General features: G+C 50.3%; 1 long non-coding RNA gene across 7 annotated transcripts, besides 2 other annotated features; it reads right to left on the bottom strand.

Annotated features, from left to right (window-relative positions):
* Positions 1-5314: 5314 nt before the first annotated feature.
* On the bottom strand, positions 5315-20514 carry LOC105370370 (uncharacterized). Of its 7 annotated transcripts, none has more exons than XR_944283.1 (7): positions 20219-20514; positions 19643-20002; positions 14293-14345; positions 7690-7944; positions 6467-6624; positions 5975-6069; positions 5315-5833 (listed from the first exon to the last, which is right to left on the bottom strand). It is a non-coding gene; the product is annotated as an uncharacterized LOC105370370 (long non-coding RNA). The 7 variants fall into 7 exon arrangements; XR_944286.1 differs by adding an exon at positions 8425-8949 and having other exon boundaries at positions 6467-7944; XR_944288.1 differs by having other exon boundaries at positions 6467-7944; positions 20303-20514.
* Positions 8293-9492: an enhancer, noted in NCBI's record as "BRD4-independent group 4 enhancer chr13:112837781-112838980 (GRCh37/hg19 assembly coordinates)". NCBI's record gives its function as "activates an origin of replication core promoter dependent on BRD2, P300/CBP, MED14 and CDK7 cofactors, and independent of BRD4, by STARR-seq in HCT116 cells {active_cell/tissue: HCT116}" and the evidence as "EXISTENCE:reporter gene assay evidence [ECO:0000049][PMID:35650434]".
* Positions 14168-15367: an enhancer, noted in NCBI's record as "MED14-independent group 3 enhancer chr13:112843656-112844855 (GRCh37/hg19 assembly coordinates)". NCBI's record gives its function as "activates an origin of replication core promoter dependent on BRD2, BRD4, P300/CBP and CDK7 cofactors, and independent of MED14, by STARR-seq in HCT116 cells {active_cell/tissue: HCT116}" and the evidence as "EXISTENCE:reporter gene assay evidence [ECO:0000049][PMID:35650434]".
* Positions 20515-20960: the final 446 nt, after the last annotated feature.

Here is a 20960-nt window from a genome sequence, read left to right on the forward strand (position 1 = left end):
TTGACGATGTAATTTGACTAAGATGAGGTCACCCTGAAGTCGGCTGGGCCCTAATCCAACATGCCAGGGGTCCTCATAAGCAGACAGAGACACAGAGGAAGGAGGTCATGTGAAGACACAGACACAGAGGAAGGAGGTCACGTGAAGACAGAGGTACAGAGGAAGGAGGTCACGTGAAGACAGAGACACAGAGGAAGGAGGTCACGTGAAGACACAGACACAGAGGAAGGAGGTCACGTGAAGACAGAGGTACAGAGGAAGGAGGTCACGTAAGACAGAGGCCGACTGGAGTGATGCGGCCAGAATCTGGAGGAGGAGGAAGGATCCCCCTGAATCTCCAGAGAGAAAGCAGCAGCCCTGCCAGCACGGGGCGTTTGGATTCTGGCCTCCAGATTGTGAGAATAAATTTCTGATGTTTGAAGCCACCCAGTTTGTGACACTCATAACAACAACCTTAGGAAATGGACACAGTCTGCGTTGAGGGTTATGATGGGAAACAGGCCATAGGGAAGTCATGCTTGCATTCTAGAGACGTAGCTGAGAACCTATTCCTCTCTATCCCTCAGTGACCACAGGATATTGGTAAACACTGGTTCCACGAAAAGCGCTCATCTCTCCTGCCAGCCCATGTGTCACCAGGAGTGGGTCACAGGTGTTCTGAGCTCTGGATTCCCTGCATCTTTGGGGTTGGACGGCCTGGGACAGTGGCTGCACCGTGGGGGGACAGGGCCCTTGGAGGACTGTGAGTGGCCTCCTGCCCAGGACAGCGGCAGCACCTCGGGGGGACAGGGCCCTTGGAGGACTGAGTGGCCTCCTGCCCGGGACAGCAGCAGCACCGCGAGGGGACAGGGCCCTTGGAGGACCGCGAGTGGCCTCCTGCCCAGGATAGCGGCAGCACCTCGGGGTATGGGGCCCTTGGAGGACTGAGTGGCCTCCTGCCCGGGACAGTGGCAGCACCTCGGGGGGACAGGGCCCTCGGAGGACTGTGAGTGGCCTCCTGCCCAGGATAGCGGCAGCACCTCGGGGAATGGAGCCCTTGGAGGACTGAGTGGCCTCCTGCCCGGGACAGCGGCAAGCACCTCGGGGGGACAGGGCCCTTGGAGGACCGTGAGTGGCCTCCTGCCCAGGACAGTGGCAGCACCTCGGGGGATGGAGCCCTTGGAGGACTGTGAGTGGCCTCCTGCCTGGGACAGCAGCAGCACCGCAGGGGGACAGGGCCCTTGGAGGACTGTGAGTGGCCTCCTGCCCAGGACAGCGGCAGCACCTCGGGGGGACAGGGCCCTTGGAGGACTGAGTGGCCTCCTGCCTGGGACAGCAGCAGCACCTCGGGGGGACAGGGCCCTTGGAGGACCGTGAGTGGCCTCCTGCCCGGGACAGTGGCAGCACCTCGGGGAATGGAGCCCTTGGAGGACTGAGTGGCCTCCTGCCCAGGACAGCGGCAAGCACCTCGGGGGGACAGGGCCCTTGGAGGACTGAGTGGCCTCCTGCCCGGGACAGCAGCAGCACCGCGAGGGGACAGGGCCCTTGGAGGACCGCGAGTGGCCTCCTGCCCGGGATAGCGGCAGCACCTCGGGGTATGGGGCCCTTGGAGGACGGAGTGGCCTCCTGCCCGGGACAGTGGCAGCACCTCGGGGAATGGAGCCCTTGCAGGACTGAGTGGCCTCCTGCCCGAGACAGTGGCAGCACCTCGGGGGATGGAGCCCTTGGAGGACTGTGAGTGGCCTGCACAAGCCTCAGCATGTACTGCAGCTTTCACGGCTCCTGTGCCCCATGGTGCTGAGAAGGCGGGAAGCGTTGTCCAGATGGATGGCTCTGTGTGTGTGTGTGAGGAACACTCGCCCTGCTACCTGGAGGCTTCCATTTGCAGCTCACCTGAGTTGCCACTTGGATCCATTTTCTGAGTCTTGTTTTATGTGTTTTACAGGGCATTCAAAGTCCTTTAGGATAGAAAATACAGCAAGAGTGAACAAATGGATGCCAGGAAAGGGGAAACCGAGGGCAGCATATTTTACATGAGGGCTGCCCCATACACTCTAGGGTCATTGCACCTGTCGAGAAACTCTGATCGTTGGTTGGGTTTTTCTTCTGTAGGAGCCTCAGCGTTTGGTGCATTCCATGCATATGGAGGCACAGACAGATGTCACCTGTGGCGGAGACAGCCGTGCCTGTCCAGTTTCTTTTTATTTTTTATCATTATCATTTGTTAAATGTTTTCTGGCTCCTTACGAGTGTCCTGGACGCTGTGCTGGGCACCCAGTGCTGAATAAAAAGTAAGGCTCTCATCTTGGGTGTTTACTTGCTAAATTCTCTGTAGAGGCAAAGGCTCTATATTCAGAAATTTTAGAATGAACAGGAATTAACATTAGCAATGAATTGAATGCAAGAGCCAATGCACTCTGTAAGTAAATCCTTCCCACAAGTCCTTTTAATTTTTATTGGATTATAAATAACTTCCTGGGCCAACAGCCAAGGGAAAGCTGCCTTGAGAGAGCCCAGAACGATTTGCACAATGAAGTTGCTGTGGCTGGAACTTTCTACTGTCCGGCATGAGCCTTCCTCACAACTGATCATTGTAATTTCCATACATAGATTTCAAATTGAGTCACAAGAATTAAAAGCACAGGTTCTGGAGAATGTGGAAGACGATCAACAGGGAAGGAGGTGGGGGCGTGTGGAGATGGTCGTTCACATGTTAACACTGGAGATCTTCCTGCGTCCTCATCACTTTTCCTGCCTACAAGCAACTCACACTATTTCTTCCTTGGCCACAAGATGGAGATTTTTTTTTAGAGAAGAAAGAGGGAAAAAGAGGAGCAGAGTCACCATGAGGTTCACCAGGCGTGGAGTATAGATGAAAGGGCTCAAGAGTGGGGCTGCAGAGTGTGGGTCTGGTGATGCAGGGGCAGACAAGCAGCCCAGGAGGCTCTCCCAGGTAGAGTGCGGGCAGGGACGGGTGGGAAGCGGGCACGGTGCTGACAGCTCTCGGGTCCCCTGTACCATCCTATGGCTGAATATCAGGATAAGTGTCTCAAGTTATGGGCCAGCTCATCCACCTTGTCCATCTCATCTCAGCAGGGTCAGCCCCAGGTGACTGGTGTCCTTGGCTCACATGGTTTATTTGGGTGACTGTCTTTGGAAGACACTATTTAAAGCACTTTACACACATAAACTCATTTAATTCTCTTGACAATCCTATCCTACAAGATGTTTTTAAGTCCCCGTTTTATAAAGGAGGAAACTGAGGCACAGAGAAGCTAAGGTGCTTGCCTGAGGTCACACAGCCTGAGTGGGAGAGCCCCCACGTGCACGCATTCACTGTATTCCCTCTGGAGAGAAGGTACTTCTCCATTCTCCTGATTTCACTCACTGTATTCCCTCTGGAGAGAAGGTACTTCTCCATTCTCCTGATTTCACTCACTGCATTCCCTCTGGAGAGAAGGTACTTCTCCATTCTCCTGATTTCACTCACTGTATTCCCTCTGGAGAGAAGGTACTTCTCCATTCTCCTGATTTCACATTCTCACGTTGTCTTGTGGATGGAGGCTATGGGCCTCCACTGAGGAGAGGCTGTGGCCAAGCGTTCAGAGTCAGGTAGACCTTCACTTTCACACCTGCCCCAAGCAGGGCTGGGCCCACAGTGCCCTAAGGCCAACTGGTAATGGGATCATTGCCCTCCTTGTGGGCAGCAGTAACTGGCTCCTCCCTAGGAGGGCAGAGAAGGTCCTCCTCCTAGGAGGACCACGATCAGGGTGGTGGGTGGGACTCTCCTCCCCAGGTGTCAGCCAAGGGACCTCCCTCCCTGTGAGGCTGTGGGGCAGTGGGCTCCCGCATCTTAGATTGTACGTGTATTTGTGTACGTGAACTGGCATCTGTCTTCCCAGCTGCGTTGTGGGCATCACAAGGCCAGGTTTCATGTGTGTTTTTGCTCACACCTGGCACCTGGCCCTATCTGAGCCAGTTCCTGGTAGACAGTAGGTGCTCAGTAGCTGTTTGTTGCGTAATTGATCACCCCCATTGGAAAGCTCCTGAAAGGTCTGCTCGTGGGACTGGGTGAGTCCATCGCCCTGGGACAGGCTGCTCATGGTGCATTTGTTTATTTTTTAAATGTTTCATTTTTGTGACCGTTATAAGTGAGTATGGTTAAAAAGCAAGATGGACTCACAAGCTTTTCAGGAAAAACACCAGCGCTCTGCCCCGCAGAGTGGGCACAGGGGCTCAGGGTTCTTACAGGGGATTTCCACGGTCTTTCCAGTAACACAGCATTGCTGCTCTTTCCCGCCTGGTTCCAGCCTCGCCGCACAGCATTTAGAGTTCTGGTCTACTTCACGTGCACACAACAGCTGCCTGTGCCATCACCATGGAGCAGTGTCACTGGTGCCTCTGCATCCTGGGCAGCTGCATTGGCTGTGGTGCAACTGCACGTGTTGGTGTGAGGACAGGAGCTGATACTGCAGAAGGAAGGGGGTGACCCGGGGTCTCTGAGGTCCCCACTGGGTACCTCAACCTCCTCCTCTAGCCCTGGCCCTGGGGATCCCCCATCCGCCTCCTCCCGCACTCATCACTGGCCGCTTTGTATCCTTATGGCCTCCTAGGATGGGGTGGAACCTCAGTGTGAACAGGTAACTGGAATTGATAGGCTGGAATGGCATTTTCTTATTAATTTATATATATATTCAAAAGATGCTGGCACTCCTAGTTTGATAATTTGTAGAAAAGTCCTTGCCTCTCTACTTCATCACCTTTATTCCCTTCTCAGTCTGAATTAGTGCATGGACTGCTCTTGTAGAAGCATCCCATCAGGATGGAATCCACGTGTCCAGAGACACACACTGATTGGCTCAGAGCAGGAGCACCTGGTGCCACATGGAGGCACTGCTGAAAGCCAGCACCAGCAAAGAACATGTCCTCTAGAACCGTGAGCAGAACTGAGAGGACAGTGAGGATGAAGTGGGAGAATAACAGTGGCCGCTTGTTCACGAGTCTATAACATCCAGCCCAGTGGCTGGAGGCTCGGCAGACGTGTGGGTGGATGTGGGTGTGCGTTTGTGCTCCATGTGTGAGTTGTGAACATACCACGTGCCCTTTCCACCACTTGGTTCAGTGTTTGAAGAGCGAGCCATGAGTCGGCGTCGGGACAGAATCCTAACAGCAATCCGTTCCTTTTCAACAGAACAGGATGTAATGAAATGTGTCACAGTAAAGGTGAGCTTCACCTCACTCATCTTTGTGCATATGCATGAGTCTACTGAGGCAGGCCACAAAGTATGTTTCCTACCACCGACGGGGATCCAAAACATTTGACAACACTGAATCAGTTGTTACCACCCTATGGGACATCCTTTTAATTTGCTTACACTTACTAGCATACTTTCCTTATAAACTTATAATTTGTATTTGTCATTTATTGTGGCTCTTCATGTGGGAAAGATTTTTAAAGGACAGTTAGATTTTCAAAGAAAACCATGAGCATGCATACCAGTTATGATTTGGCCATGGTTATCCATGCACCTCTCTGTTTTCAATGAGGTTTGGTGGAGGCGGAATGTGTTCCTTGTTGAATACAAAGCTTGGTTAAGTGTTGTTGGGAGGAGACCCCTGAGGGGAAAAAGTCTTTGTGGAACATAGTCCAGCCTGGTCTTCGTGGCTCAGGCAGAGGGAGGAGGATGCACGTGGCAAGCCCTCTGCAGCTCAAAGACACCCAGGGGTTGGCACCAGAGCAGCCAGGACCCCCGGGCTCAGGAGAAGCCAAGTCTTCATCGGGAACCCGGGCTCATGCATTTGGATGGAAAATTGTTGTGGGCTACATAGCCTGGGGCAACACCGTGTCTTCTTACTGTGTCCAGGAAAAATGAAGGAGAACTTGGGTGAGATCATTGATTCAGGGAGAGCTGAGCCACACTCTGTCTCTACCCTGGAGAAGCACACCTGCCTGCCTGGCACCTCTGGGAAGCCTCACTGCAGCCAGTCTGCTCACCTTTCCTTCAGCCAGAGGAGAGGAGATGTCCATTTTCCCAAAGTGGCCAGTGCTCTGGGGTTGACCATTCCCTCTCTGCTGTGTTTCTCATTCTGCTGTGTAGTGGCAAAGGCAGAAAGGAAAGGTATTTAAAAGAGCACCAGAGTCTCTCCTAGGTGATGCTGAATCCAAGAGGGAGAGGTTAAACTGGGAAGGGAATAAAGAAAAGGAAATTCAGGGAGAAGAGGGGTGAACTCCAGGTCAGTGGGCGGCTCTCCACCTCACTCGCATCAAGCCTGGGCAAGGGGTGTGGTGGGTCTCAAACTCCCTCCCGAATCGAACTGTTCCCTCTGGTGAGGACAGTGCTGCCCATCTGTGTGGAGCGGCTGAGCTCACTTGGAGGAGGAGGTAAGGAGCAGAGCCCAGTGTCTGAATGAGATTCCTGTCCACAGGAAATGAGCAAGCACCTGTCCACAGAGGGGGCAGGCCAGGGAAGTGGCTCCACAGTCCCACCTGGAGACAATGCAGTGTCAGGCCAGGAGCGTCCGACTTCCAAGTGGCCCCGTGGGTCCGCGTGTGTGTGTGGACAGGGCCAGCGGCTGTTTTCCGCTGAGACCAGCCTTAGCCAATTATGTAAGTGCCCAGAAATGACATCCATTTAGTATCTTGCTCTGTGGAGGAAAAAGCTCCCCACTAATAACAACACCAACTACATAGCCTCTCAGACAGTTGCAGTAATTTTCACATTATTCCAGACCCATTCATTGTCTGACAGTTTGGTACTTCAGTTATTTTCCTACTTCTGCTTAAACTCTCCCCAAGGGAATAAGCTAATTAGTTTAACTCTTTTTGCACCTGGCTGGTGTGTGTGTTTATGGCTTTGCTTGCAATGTGTAATGACCCCTCCCAGTCTCATTCACTCTTCGTGGTCAGAGGGCCCGAACCTGTGCAGGTGCATGTACTAGAAATATGCAGGAGAGTCCACAAGTCCTGGCTAAGTCCTGAGCCTAAGGAAATCCAGCTGAAAACCAAATTCAGGAGTTGGGGTGCAAAGCTGAGAAGACAGGGGCTCTGGGCTGAGCCAGCAGGTATGCTCACAGCTGGGTGTGAATGAGGCAAGGGCCAGAGACAGCCAGGAGAGGCCTGGAGACCAGAGGCTTCCAGCAGGGAGGGAGGGGGCAGGTGGCAGCGTCTGCAGTGGAGGAAGTGCTGCCCCATGAGAAGCACAGTCCGTCCTGTCCAGACTGCCCAGGGCTGTGAGGGCCCACAGTCCCAGGAGATGTCCAGGCCAGAAAGGGCAGCCTCTTAGCGGCAATGAGGCAGAGGGAGCCTGGCCCCGGGCAAGGGGCCTGCGCACTGCACTCCATGCTCCCAGCTGCGTGACTCCCCCTCACTGACGAACTTATGTGGTGGAGAAGGGCAGATGCTGAAGAGACCCCGGAGGGACATCCCTACTCCAGCGTCACCCTCCCAGGACGGTGAACTGTGCGAGTGAATTCACACACCTGCCTTGATGGTAGGGATGTCCCTCCTCCAGCGTCACCCTCCCAGGACGGTGAACTGTGCGGGTGAATTCACACACCTGCCTTGATGGTAGGGACGTCCCTCCTCCAGCGTCACCCTCCCAGGACGGTGAACTGTGCGGGTGAATTCACACACCTGCCTTGATGGTAGGGACGTCCCTCCTCCAGCGTCACCCTCCCAGGACGGTGAGCTGTGCGGGTGAATTCACACACCTGCCTTGGTGGTAGGGACGACCTAGATGGAATCGGAGGGCATTGGGAGCATTCAGCACAGAGGCTTTCAAACGTGGGGCACTTTCTTTGGATGGAAGCAAAGGGGAAACCCCCCGAAGTCCCCCCGCACGGCTGCCATGCAGGCTCAGGGTCAGGTTCTCCTCCTTCAAGGCTGGAGTGCCTGGGCTCCATCGTCAGCCTCCTTCTCCACCTGCGTTGGTTCCTTAGCCAAAGCCATCCAGTCCGGGCCTGCAGCTGGGAGACAGGGAAGAAGAGGATGTGTGGGGCCCGTGGCACTTGACCTGGGTGACATGAGGGTCACTTCAAACACGGCCAGTGTGCAGCCTCCCAGGTCCCTGAGGTCGGCGTCTCCGGGTCAACCCTTAGTGACATCTCCAGGCCCAGGTGGCCTTGAAGTGTGGACACAGGTGGGCACCACTGGGACAAGCAGCCGTTCCCACACCAGCAGCCAGTTCCCACGCCAGCAGCCAGTTCCCACACCGGCAGTACCCACACCCAGGGAAAGGGAGACCGTGCCCGGGGCTGGCCCCTCGGGACGGCCTAGGCGTGAGTGCCAGTGACATAACCAATTCTGAGGAAATTGCAAAAGACAAGGCATGCACTTTGAGTGGTTGCGTAACAGGCTGTGAAGGGCCTCTGCCTGAAATGCTTGTATTTTTCAGAAAGCCTTGTTACAACCTGCCATAACAAAATTCCGCAGACTGGGTGGCTTACTTCTTCGTGGTTCTGGAGGCCGGAAGTCCAAGACCAAGGTGTGAGTAGGGCTGGTTCCTCCGGAGGCTCCTCTCCTGGGCTTCTGGATGCTGCCCTCTGCCTGTGTCCTCGCCCGGCCGTCCCTGTGTGTGTCTGTCCTAACCTCCTCTTCCTATAAGGACACTGGTCCTACTGGATGAGGGCCAACCCCTATGGCTTCATTTTACCCAACGATCTCTTTAAGACCCCACTGCCAAATGCGGTCCCATTGGGAGGTCCTGGGGGTGAGGGCTGCAGTGTATGAAAGTGGGGGAGACGCAGTGCAGCTGGTGACGCAGCCCCGCAGAGCTGAGCGCGTTGCCCGGCACACACTCGTGCCGACTCAGTGTGCGGCTGGGTTGGTGGCCCCTCGAAGGCGTCTGTTAAATTTGTTTATTTCTAGCATCGCAGAGTCACCAAGAAAGCGAGGCTGGAGCTCCACTCTCTCTGTGGGTTTGTCGTCACGCAGTGCAGCTTTCTCACAGAGTGGATCAAAGACTCACCACACTTTAAAAAAAGGAAGAAGAAAGAAGAAGAAGAAGGAGAAGGAGAAGGGGAAGGACAAAAATTTCAGATAAGTTGACTCCTGGGGGCTGGCGCAGCTCCACGGGACGCCCTCCACAGCTGGTGGCCTCGGCTTCTCCTGAAAAATGCTTCATTCACTCCGGCAGCTGTGCCCTCGGGGGCTGCCACGTGCCTGAAACTGAGGCATGGAGAGCCCATCTCTGCAGCAGAACCAGCAGCAGTGGGTACAGGAGAGCCAGTGACACTCAGGCCCGGGACCACGCCAGCCTCGCCAGGCAGAGACGGAGCACAGAGCCCAGGTGACCTGCACACTCAGGTCACAGAAACAACTGAAGCCCAGGCCCCCAGGCTCAGGCCGGAGACCCCAGCGCTGGCCTTGCTGTTGCAGGAGTGGGTGGGCTTCTTTTCTCCCTGCTGTGCCACACCAGACTCACTGCCCACCGGGGCTTTCGCCGGAGAGAGAAAATACTGAGGTAAACGAGGCCTGCTTGGGCTGTTGAGGTCCCTGAAAGTCCGTGGCTGTAAACTCGTTCAGCAGTTACAACACAGAGCTTGTGGAACATGAGGGAAGCCCCTGGGAGTTGATCGAAACATGTATAAGGAGAGAGTGTAATAATTAATGGTAATAAAATCATAATAATGCCACTTACCACGCACCAGGCACTGTCCTAGGACTCTGCGTATATTAACTCATTTCATTCTCACAATAAACTCATGAAATCTTCCCCAGTTTTCAGTGATGAACCAGAGCCACGAGGGCTCAAAAAATATGCCCCATGTCATCCAACCGGAAGGTGACAGCCAGGATCTCCACCCAGGTGGGCTCCTAGGTCCTGCTTCAGACTTGCACATTAGAAGCCTGTGCAGCTGGTGACAGCTCCCACCTGGCTTTCACGCACCTTTAACTCAACAATAGAGGCAGCCCCTGATGATGAGGAAGGAGATGGGGTGATGGGGTGCAGGCCGTAGTGTCGAAGGGCAGAGGAGGGAAACACCCAAAGGAGGCCGACAGCCACTCTCAGAGGGCGCGATGCCTGGTGGACATGGAATAGCCTGACAACCGGTCGTCTTGGTGCCGGAAATCCCGTCTCATCCTGACACTCAGCCGCGTGACCCTGGCAAGTCACTTAACATCAAAAGCTTTATTTTCCTAATTTATGCATGTGACAGGTTGCATTTTCCAGTGATGGCTACACTGGTATATTTAGTCCAACCGCATGGTCTCCCACAATGCCCCTCCCACTGAGGGGCTCCCCTCCCACTGAGGGGCTCCTTACTGCCCCAACCAATGGACTGCCAATCTAGGTCATGAAATGTGTGGACCCCTGCCTGGCACGTGCACTCTCTCTTTCTCTCCCTCCCCATGACCACAGTGCCGCCTCGCACCCTCGGTCTCTGTCTCTCTGTCTCACCATGTCTCTCCCAACGTTCACCTTTGGAACTCAGCCACCATGTTGTAAGGAAGTCTTGACACAGGGGGATGCCACGTGTAACATTCTAGTGACAGCCCCAGCTGCAGTCCTAGCTGGCAGCTATCACCCCCCGCAAGGCCTGTGGGTGGATGAGCCTTCGGGGGGGTCCAGCCCCCAAGCTTCCTGTCGTCCTGCTGAAGCCCAGACTTCAGGGAGCAGGGTGGAGCCATCTGTGCTGTACCCCATCCCTGTTCCTGACCCACAGAAATGGATAACAATATAATCAATTGGAGTGTAATTTTCTATTTTAGGTATTTGTGAAAATTAAGTGAGACTATGTGAAAAGGTTTTGTAAACCATTATGAGATACACAAGTATTGGACATTATTATGACAATACTTATGAGAAGCGCCTTGGGTTCTTGAGCACGGAGGTCCAGTTGTAGTATTTCTTTCTAAGCTGCTGTTATGGTTTGAATGTTTGTGTCTCCTCCAAAATTCACATTGAAACTTCATCCCCAGCGCGGCAGTAGTAAGAGGTGGGGCCTTTAGGAGGTGGTAGGCCCTGCGGGTTCTGCCCTCATGAATGGGACTAGTAACTTTATAAAAGGGCTGGAGGGAGCTAGCTTGGCCCATTCCTGCGTGGCCCCAGGTCTGAGTGTCACTGGCTCCCCTGCGCCCACTGCTGCGGGTTCTGCTGCAGAGACGGGCTCTCCATGGCTCAGCTTCAGGCATGTGGCAGCCCTGGGGGGCCACAGCCACTAGAGTGAATGAAGCATTTGTCAGGAGAAGCTGAGGCCACCAGCTGTGGAGGATGTAGGTGGAGCTGCTCCAGCCCCCAGGTGTCAACGTATCTGAAATTTTTGCCTGATTTTTGCCTTTCCCTCTTTTTTTTTTAAAGTGTGGTGAGTCTTTGATCCAGTCTGTGAGAAAGCTGTACCCCGTGACGACAAAACCACAGAGATGGTGGAGCTCCAGCCTCACTCTCTTGGTGACTCCACGATGCTATAAATAAATAAATTTAACAGACAACTTCGAGGGACCACCAACCCAGCCCTTTGGTCATGTGAGGACACAGCATTGAAGGCACCATCTTGGAAACACAAAAGCATGTCCTCACAGACTTGGAACCTGCTGGTGTCTTGATCTTGGACTTCCCAGCCTCCAGAGCTAAGACAATAAGTTTCTACTGTGTATAAATTACCCAGTCTATAGTATTTGGTTATAGCAGCACAAATGGTCTAAAACAGTCATGCTGACAGTTTCAGTAGAAATTTGGTAAGGAGAGTCTTGCAAAATCTGTGAGCTCTTAATACATAATATGTTTTCCATCCCCTGTCTCTGAGGTGTTGGTGCCCTACAGCACCTGCTGCTAGTGTGATGGCCACCATCTACTGAGCATCTGTTTTGTACCAGGCGCGAGTAACCTGGAGCAGAGACTTCCCATCATTCCTCAATTGGCAGGATCCCTGTGATTGGATCTTCCACAGAATTGGGTGTCAGAAGCTGCTTAGTTGTCAGGGCGATTTCTCTGCTCTGAAACCTAGGGTGGGGCCATGGCTCACTGTGGAGGCAGAGGACATCCTCCTATACCAAAGCACTGGGGTCCAACGTGGCCTGTGGTGTGAGGCATGGCAGATGCCATACAGTGTGGGGCTTAACTTAGCCACAGAGTTCAGGCAACTGTATCTGATCCTGAAGTGTTATTTTCTCTATATATTACTAGTTTATATACATAAAACTATTAATCCTGATATGGCACTCTTTTTACATGAAAACATTCCAAGAGCGTGAAGTGAATGCGTTTGGCCTCGGATGGAAGGAGAGCGAAGGGACGGAGAATTGACTTCCTGAGTCATGGACTGGACGCCGAATGTAGTACCTGTATCGATCAGATTTCCCCAGGGAAATAAAACCAAGTCTATATCCACATATATCTCAAGGGAGACAGAGAGAGGGGAGGGGAGTGTGAAGAACCCGTCCTGCACAGTTTTGGGGCCTAGTGGGTAAGTCTGATTTTCTGGGCAGCTGGAAACTGAGGCAGGATCAGGCCCTTCCCAGGAGTTTCCTCCTCTGCAGGGGGACCTCGGCTCCCCTCTCCAGGCCTTTCTGCTGACCAGTCAGCCTCCCCACCCCGACGAGGTTATGCAGGATGATCTCCTCTACGACAGGGTAATGGGGGGTGTTCGTCTCATTTACAGAATACGTTCACGGCAGCACCGCGTAACCGAGCATGGTGGCCTGGCCAGGGGACTCCCAAGCCTGACTGTCTCAGTCTACTCTTGGACCTGCCACCCTCCACATTGCCTGAGTCTTATACTCGTCTCCAGATCAAGACAGCAGCAAAGTCACACTGCTGCCCGAAACACAAGTATGCTGCACGCAACTGAAAACATGCTCCCTTTCCCCAGAAGATGAATGTCTGGGTGATGTCCAGGCTTATCCTGGATGTCCTGCAGCAGAAATGAGGGAGGCCTGTACATGAGAGTCGCCCCAGCCGGTACAGTCACCCCCATCTTCGCATGCTGGTTCTGTGGCACAGGGAGTCCAAGGCAGGCCTCACTTTCAGTTCAATGGAATCACTGCTGTGTCTCCTGGTGGAAGCATTTCTCCCTTGGGAACTGACACCTGTTGGCCAGCAGGGGTGTTGGGGACAGGAAACAAAAATGTTGCCAGTGGGTCACTAGGGGTAACACTGAGTGGTGCCACTCTCATTTCCACCCTGTTGATTCCTGGGCCCGTGAATCCCGGCCAGGAGAGACAGCACTACATAAAATCTGATGCAGATTTAAAGCACCTTGGGAAGAACCTTGCCCCAGCCCTGCAAGGGGCTGCCACCTGGCTGGCATGGTAACTGAGTCTTCAAAAGGCCATTCCTCTGTTCCATGAAGCCAGCCACTCCAGGACGGTGGGAACATGGTAAGACTGGGGAATCCGTGAGCGTGGGCCCATTGCAGCCCTTCTTTCCTACAAGGTGAGTTCCTTGGTCAAAAGCAATGCTGTGTAGAATACCATGACAGTGGGAAAGGCATTCTGTAAGTCCTCGGATAGCCGTTTTGGCAGAAGCATTGCATGCAGGGAAGGCAAATCCGTATCTGGAGTAACTGTCAATTCCAGTAATAATAAAGCACTGCCCTGTCCACAATGGAAGTGGTCCAGTGTAACCAGCTGGCTACCAGGCAGCTGGCTGATCATGCCAGAGAACGGTAAAACACCTGGGACTCAGGATTGGGTGTGAGCGTTGCTATAGACTGGGAGAGAGGAAGGAGACCTTTAATACAATTTAAACTTGGAATGGATTGGGTAAGAGCGTTACTGTAGACTAGGAAAGAGGAAGGAGACCTTTAATACAATTTAAACTTGGAATGGATTGGGTAAGAGTGTTGCTATAGACTAGGACAGAGGAAGGAGACCTTTCATACAATTTAAACTTGGAATGGATTGGGTAAGAGCGTTACTGTAGACTAGGAGAGAGGAAGGAGACCTTTAATACAATTTAAACTTGGAAAGATGTTTTCCTTTGAGTGAAGACCACTAAGTGAGGAGGAAGGAGCTTGCAAGCCGCCGGGTCATGCACCACTACCCAGACAGTGTTGTTGCCTGCCCAGCAGCCATTTCTCTCAGGTCTTCTCTGCTAGTGCAGCCTCAGTTTTGCTCAGATACTGGCTGAAAAGTCCCCAACCTCAGAGGAGGCCAGTTCCTGCCTCAAGCCGGGGGATAAACCGTGGTTGCTCAGAAACAGCCATGGGGCTCCCTTTCCATGCCAGTAGGTTAGGCCGTGTGTGCCTGTGTGCCCAACTCTTGCCATAAAGTGTAGGAGAAACTTGGCCAGGGGATGCTATGGAAAATATTTTTCCCAGATGAAAAGGAGTATCTTCCCAGAGAGAAAGCTTCCTTCTGCACCTGTCTCCTACCTTTCTCCTTCAGATGTTGCTGTTTGGAGCTGAGGCAGCCGTCCTGTGACCATCTGTCAACAAAGGTAAGGATAAAAAGACAAGCTCAAAAAGATATTGGCGCGATATTTATCAAAGTTATTTTTAAGAGCAAAAATGAAGAAAGAAATTTTTAAAATGTCCATACAGTGAAATACAATCATAGACATGTTATTGGTAAGAAAATGTTTACGATAATTTATTAGGGGACAAAGGCAGGTCACGAATGGGATGTAGGAACCCATCCTGTGGGTAGGTGGGCGTGTCTGCAAAAGACCATAGGAAAATACATCAATACTGGTCATCTTTGGATGGTAAAATTATGAGTGACATTTGTTTTCTAATTTTTCTTCAATGCATTTGTAATACATTGTGTATATCTCAGTACTGAATTGTAATGTGAAATGTTTTCTTACGGTGTGATATGGTTTGGATCTGTGTCCTCACCCAAATCTCATGTTGAATTTAATTCCCAGTGTTGGAGGAGGGAACTGGTGGGAGGTGACTGGATCATGGGGTGGACTTCCCCCTTGCTGTTCTTGTGATAGTGAGTGAGTTCTCCTGAGATCTCCTTGTTTAAAGGGTGTAGCACCTCCCCACCCACTTGCTCTCTCTCTGCTGCTAGACATGTGAAGACATGCCTGCTTCCCCTTTGCCTTCCACCATGATGATAAGTTTCCTGAGGCCTCCCCAGAAGCCGAAGCCTGTACAGCTCACAGAACCATGAGCCAATTAAACCTCTTTTCTTTATAAATTACCCAGTCTCAGATGGTTCTTTATAGCAAAGCCAATACACAGTGGAACACAGTTAAAAAAAAAAAAGAAAAGAAAAAATAGTCAGTGTTCTTCAAAATGGGACTTTACCTAAAAGTAGAATCACTGTATTATTAGGAATGCAAAAATCTTCAACGTGAGTAGAGGTGTAGTTTCCTGGGGGCAGCCATAACAAATCGTCACAAAGTAAGTAGCTTCCAAGAACAGAAATGTGTTGTTTCTCAGTTCTGGATACAGAGTCAGAAATTAAGCTGTCAGCAGCTGTGCTCCCTCTGAAGGCTCCAGAGGAGAATCCTTCCTTGCCTTTTCCAGCTTTTGGTGGCTCCAAGCATCCCTTGGCTGGTGGCTGCATCACTGCAACCTCTGCCTCCATCTTTACATGGCTTCTCCCTTGTGTCACTGTGTCCTGTCCTCCTAAGGGCACTGGTCATTGGATTCAGGACTCCAAATCCAGGAAGATTTCATCTCAAGATCTTTAACTTGACTCATCCGCAAAGATCCTTTTGTGAATCTTTTGTGAATAAGGTCACATTCATAGTTACTAGGGATTAAGACACACATATTTTTTGGAGGGACATTATTCAACCCAGTAGAGTGGATAATACCAAGTGGCTTTCAAAAGGGACTTTTACTACTGAATTCTCATGACATGAGGTTGTGAGAGTTCCACTTACTCTGTATCCTCACATTTTTTATTGTCAGGTTGTTTAATTTTGTTAATCAGGTACCTATGAATTATTATCTCTCTTTTCCCATTTGCCCCAATAATACTCGCTGGTGGTACTTGTGGTTGCAGCATTTACCCCAGGACACCTTTGCCACCATTATGTTTTTAGTAGTGGTATTTCCCTTTGCAAAATATAATAATTCTTGATTGCTGAAAATGTCAAATCCTAGAAAATGTAGCATTCCTACATGTGATGTTAACACTGTTCTTAAACGGTTGTTGGCCAAAGATTTGTTTGATGAATCCAAGTCTTCCGAAATAGATGATTCTCATGATTCAGATTATTCTGATGTTAGTTTTGTTTAGAAATAATTCCAAAAACAGTTTTTCTATTTGATTTTCATATTGAAACTCAGTCAGATTTGCTTCAGCCTCAAAGAGCGTGTTTATGTAAAAGCAAATGAGCGCTGGCAGTAAGCTGCACTTTTTTCTTTGTAAACAGGAGAAAGGTTAATTCATATTTTTCTGATTGCTAAAGAGATTATCTTCTTTCTTTCTTTTCTTCTCCTTTTGCTATTCATGTTTCTATTCATGTCTTCTGTGAAACACTTGTTCATGTCTTTTTTCCATTTCTATCGTGTTTATTTCTTTTTGATTTGCAGGTCATGTGGCTAACTTTGTCAGGAGGGACCAGTCTTCAGGGCATCTGTAGCATTTTTTATTTCCATCCGTAACGCACCAGTGCTCCCGATGCTCCCCATCCTTGCCAGCACTGAGTGTTTGGAACCTGTTTTATTGCAGGCCTGCTCATAGGCATGCAGTTGTATCTCGCAGTGGCTTTAAGTTGCATCTCCGAAAGGACTAATGATGCTGAATATCTTTTCACGTGCTAAGGTGCTTTCCACATATTCTCTTTGGTGACACGTCTGTTGCCTACTTTTATACTGGTTGCTTATTTCCTACTGTTGAGTTTTCAGAGTTCTTTATAGACTCTGGATAACAGTCTTTCATTGGATATGTGACTTGCAAATATTTTTTCTCAGTCTATAGGTTACCTTTTAAGTCTACTCAGCAGTGTCTCTTGCAAAGGAGAAAATTTTACTTTTGATTAAGTCCAATAATTATTTCATTTGATTGATGAAGTATGCTTTTGGAGTCATATCTACCAGTTCTTTGACTAATCCCAGGTCACAAAGAATTTCTTCTACACTTTTTTCTAAACATTTTATAGTTTTGTGTTTTACATTTAGTCCTAAGATCTGTTTCCGTTTTGTATAAGCTGTGAGTGTCAAGTCAAAGCTCTTTTTATTTAACTTTTTGCATATGGTTATCCAATTGTTCAAACACAATTTGTCGAAAAGACATCTTTTCTTCTTTGAATTGCCTTTGTAACAGTGTAAAAACCCAAATGGTCATGTTTGTGTGAGTTTATTTCTAGACTCTCCGGTGGGCATCCTTTCTGTGACAGCACATATAGATATCCTTTCGGTGATAGCATCCTTTCTGTGATAGCATCCTTTCGGTGATAGCATCCTTTCTGTGATAGTATCCTTTCTGTGACGGCATCCTTTCGGTGATAGCATCCTTTCTGTGACGGCATCCTTTCTGTGACGGTATCCTTTCTGTGACGGTACCCTTTCTGTGACGGTACCCTTTCTGTGACGGTATCCTTTCTGTGACGGTATCCTTTCTGTGACGGTATCCTTTCTGTGACGGCATTCTTTCTGTGACGGCATCCTTTCTGTGATAGCATACTTCCTTCATCACCACATCTTTACAATGTCTTAAAATTGAGTAGTGTGATTCCTCCAACTTTACTCATCTTTTTCAAACATGATTTGGGCATTCTATTTTCTTTGAATTTCCAGATAAATTTTAAAATTTGATTCTCTATATCTATAAGAAATCCATAATTTGGGGAGCTTCCCAGCTCTTAGGATGGATATACTTTGTCTATTCTGGAAAATTCCCCATCTGTCTCCACTTGTTCCCGTAACTATTCTGTAATTATCATCATAAATGTGGCAATCATCCTCACTTGATCCTTAAAGCCTCTTAATATTTATTTCCTATTTTTCTCTTTTTTCTTCCAGAACTGCATTCTGAATAATTTCTTCAACTTTATCTTCCAGCTCCTTGATTCTCTCTGCAGTTGTATCAAATGTGCTGCTTACCCTTTCTGTTGAGTCTAATTTCATATACATATTAAAAAATTCTAGGGCTTTTGAGTGGTTTTGAAATCTTCCTGGTCAATTTTGACAACCTTATGCTGCTTTCTCAGACTTTTAATATCCTCGTGTATTTCCTTCAATGTGTTAAACATTCTTCTTTTCTGTTCTGTATCTAATGCTTTCTGTATCTTCAGTTCTTTGCAGTTGACTTTTTGCCTCACGTCTTATTTCCTGTGTGTTTCTTGGTTTTGATTATGAGCCCATGTGTCTTGGTATTTTATCTTTCATAATTCTTTGAGGATTTAAAGTGAGTTTCTTCAAGGAGGATTTTATTTTGTTTCTTCCAAGAACTCAGGAGTACTATCAATTCTGGGATGCTTCAAGTTAAATTTTTGTCTTTCTTAACAATCATATAGTTAGTGTACATTTGGACCTCAAAGCCCGTGAGCGCAGGCTTATGGCTGGGAATTCTGAGGGAAGACTTTACTTGCACTGCTCTCAGAGCCAAGGCTGAGGCCACCATCAGTGGGCAGAAGTTTCTGTTCCACTGATTCGGGTACTGTGCCCTGGCCGCCCCGCACAGGCCTCAGGCTCCGTCTCCTTCGAGAGTGAGGTCCGCTGAAAGTCGGATGACCAGGACCATGGGTGCTAGCAGATACCTCGGGGAAGAGTGCCAGTTTAAATGCACCTTTATTTTCTCAACGTGTTTCTGACTCTGATAAATTCTGTTATTTTCCCTCAAACTCGGCCATTCAGTAAAAGAATTTTTTTTCTTTTCATCTATCTGGCATGTTAAGTGTGGTGTACCAAAGCTAGTTGTTTTTGAAAAGCAAATCCATCGAATTACTGAAAATAAAGTCCAGGCACCTTGAACTTTAAAATTGTAAACACACCCATCATTGCTCCATAAGTCCTGGCAGATAATGTGACCTAACCTTCCTCATTTTGTAGATAAACTAACTGAGGCTCAGACCTACAAAAGTTAAGCAGGAAAGAACACAGCGATGGGATGGAAGCCACAGCCCAGAGCCCTGGGCCCCTGGCAGGACACTTCCTGTCCCCCTCTGCGCCCTGAGCAGCCAGTTTCCAGTTCAGGGCTTTGTAGCTGAGCGCGCAGCCCCAGCCTTGCTGACATAGCACCTTCGACCCAGGCTTTGCAGGTAGCCGGCGGCGGGGAACAGTGGCCAAGTCCCCCGGGGGGTCTGGTGAGCAAGGGCAGGGGGAGATTCGTGACAGGAACGATGCCCAGGGTGAAACAGAAGGGGCGATAAGCAGTGCCCCGCCAGCCCACGAGCCACAGGGAGCCACACGGAGACGTCACGCGGCACACGTGGAGTCCCACACCCACGTCGCACAGAGTCCGGGCTCTACACATCTGCAGGTGGCTTGCACATCAGGAAAACCAGTGAAGCCCCCGCGGAAGGAAGCCTTTCCTAGCTGCGCGTGCCGGTTGGATACAGCCCGAATTAGTGCTATTTTCCAACGTGAAGTTCTGTTTTGGCCGAAATAAGAAAGCGACCCACACTCGGAAGGAAGCACCTGAGACTCGTGTCCTTCCTCGTTGGCTCGTTGGTGCTCGGCGGCGCCAGACCGCTGTCCGAGAGACGACATCTCAGCGGACACAGCGCATCTGTGTGGCCAGCACAGATACAGAGAACCCCGGAGTAAGCCTCCTCCCGCCTCCCCAAACCCACACCCATGCCAGCGTTTCCGCGCTCACCCCGTTGTCCCTGCAGGCCCTGGCTGGGCATGAACTGGGCGCCTTCATCCCAGCGCCGTGTCCGGGTGCGCGCCGAAAAGGCCGAATTCCGGTTTCTTGCAGCCAGCAGGGGGGCCTTGGCTTTCCATCAAGATTTTTTCCCAGGAGGATATTATCTCACGTGAACAAAACTCAGGAGGAGTCAGAATAGGCTCCGGAAGAACTCTGTGCTCTCTGACTTTTTAAAACCTTACAGAAACAGCAGCCCACCCCAGGCTCCTGGTGCTGTGAAGGCTGATTCCGATTCCCAGGAGGTGGGCAGTGTCTCCTGGCGTCTGTTTCTGCCCCTGCTAATAGGGCTGGATGCGGAGCTTTTCTGACCTGAGGGAAGATCAGGGAACCCACTACTAATTCACTCAGGTGCCAGCGACCCAGGATCTTATCCATAAAGACTCTAGAGTGCTGAAGCAGCTCCCAAGAACCCGGAAAATGCAAAATAAATTTCTCCTCCCTAAAAATAAAAAGTAATGCAGAAGACAGGCACTTTTAATATCAACATGAAAACAAAGCACCAGTTAATAAAAATATAAATCTTACATTAAATCACCACTCTTAGTTGAATTTGAGGAGTGTGGTAGCAGACTTGCTGAAAATATTTCTTCCCTCCTAATTTTTTGATACCTTTTCCAATTTATCCCAGATCTCATCTCTTCCACACAGCCTGCTCCGTCCTTTCTCAAGAGTGAAATGATGGCTCTCCTTCATCTCCACCTTTCACAGTCTCTCTGCCCTGCCCACTAGGGGAAGAGTGCCTGGGCACTACAAGAATTTAGTACCAATTGCCCTTCCTTCCTTCCTTCCTTCCTCTTTCCCTTCCTCTTTCCCTTCCTTTTTTCCTTCCTTTCTTCTTTCCTTCTTCCTTCCTTCTTTCCTTTCCCCCTTCCTCCCTCTCTCCCCTCCTTCCCTGCCTTCCTTTCTCTCTTCATTCCTTCCTCCTCCCCCCTCCTTCCCCTCTTCCTTCCTTCCTTCCTTCCCTTCTTCCCTTCCTTCCTTCCTCTCTCCCTCCCTCTTTCCCTTCCTTCTTTCTTCCTTTCTCCCTCCCTCCCTCTCTCCCCTCCTTCCCTGCCTTCCTCTCTCTCTTCATTTCTTCCTCCTCTCTCCTCCCTTCCCTCCCTCCCTTCCTTTCTTCCTTCCTTCCTCTCTCCCTCCCTCTTTCCTTTGCTTCTTTTTTCCTTCCTTTCTTCCTTCCTTCTTTCCTTTCTCCCTCCCTCCCTCTCCCCTCATTCCCTGGCTTCCTTTCTCTTTATTCCTTCCTCCTCCCTCACCTCCCTTCCTCCCT

Source organism: Homo sapiens, chromosome 13, assembly GCF_000001405.40.
Source record: "Homo sapiens chromosome 13, GRCh38.p14 Primary Assembly".
NCBI classification, from domain to species: domain Eukaryota; kingdom Metazoa; phylum Chordata; class Mammalia; order Primates; family Hominidae; genus Homo; species Homo sapiens.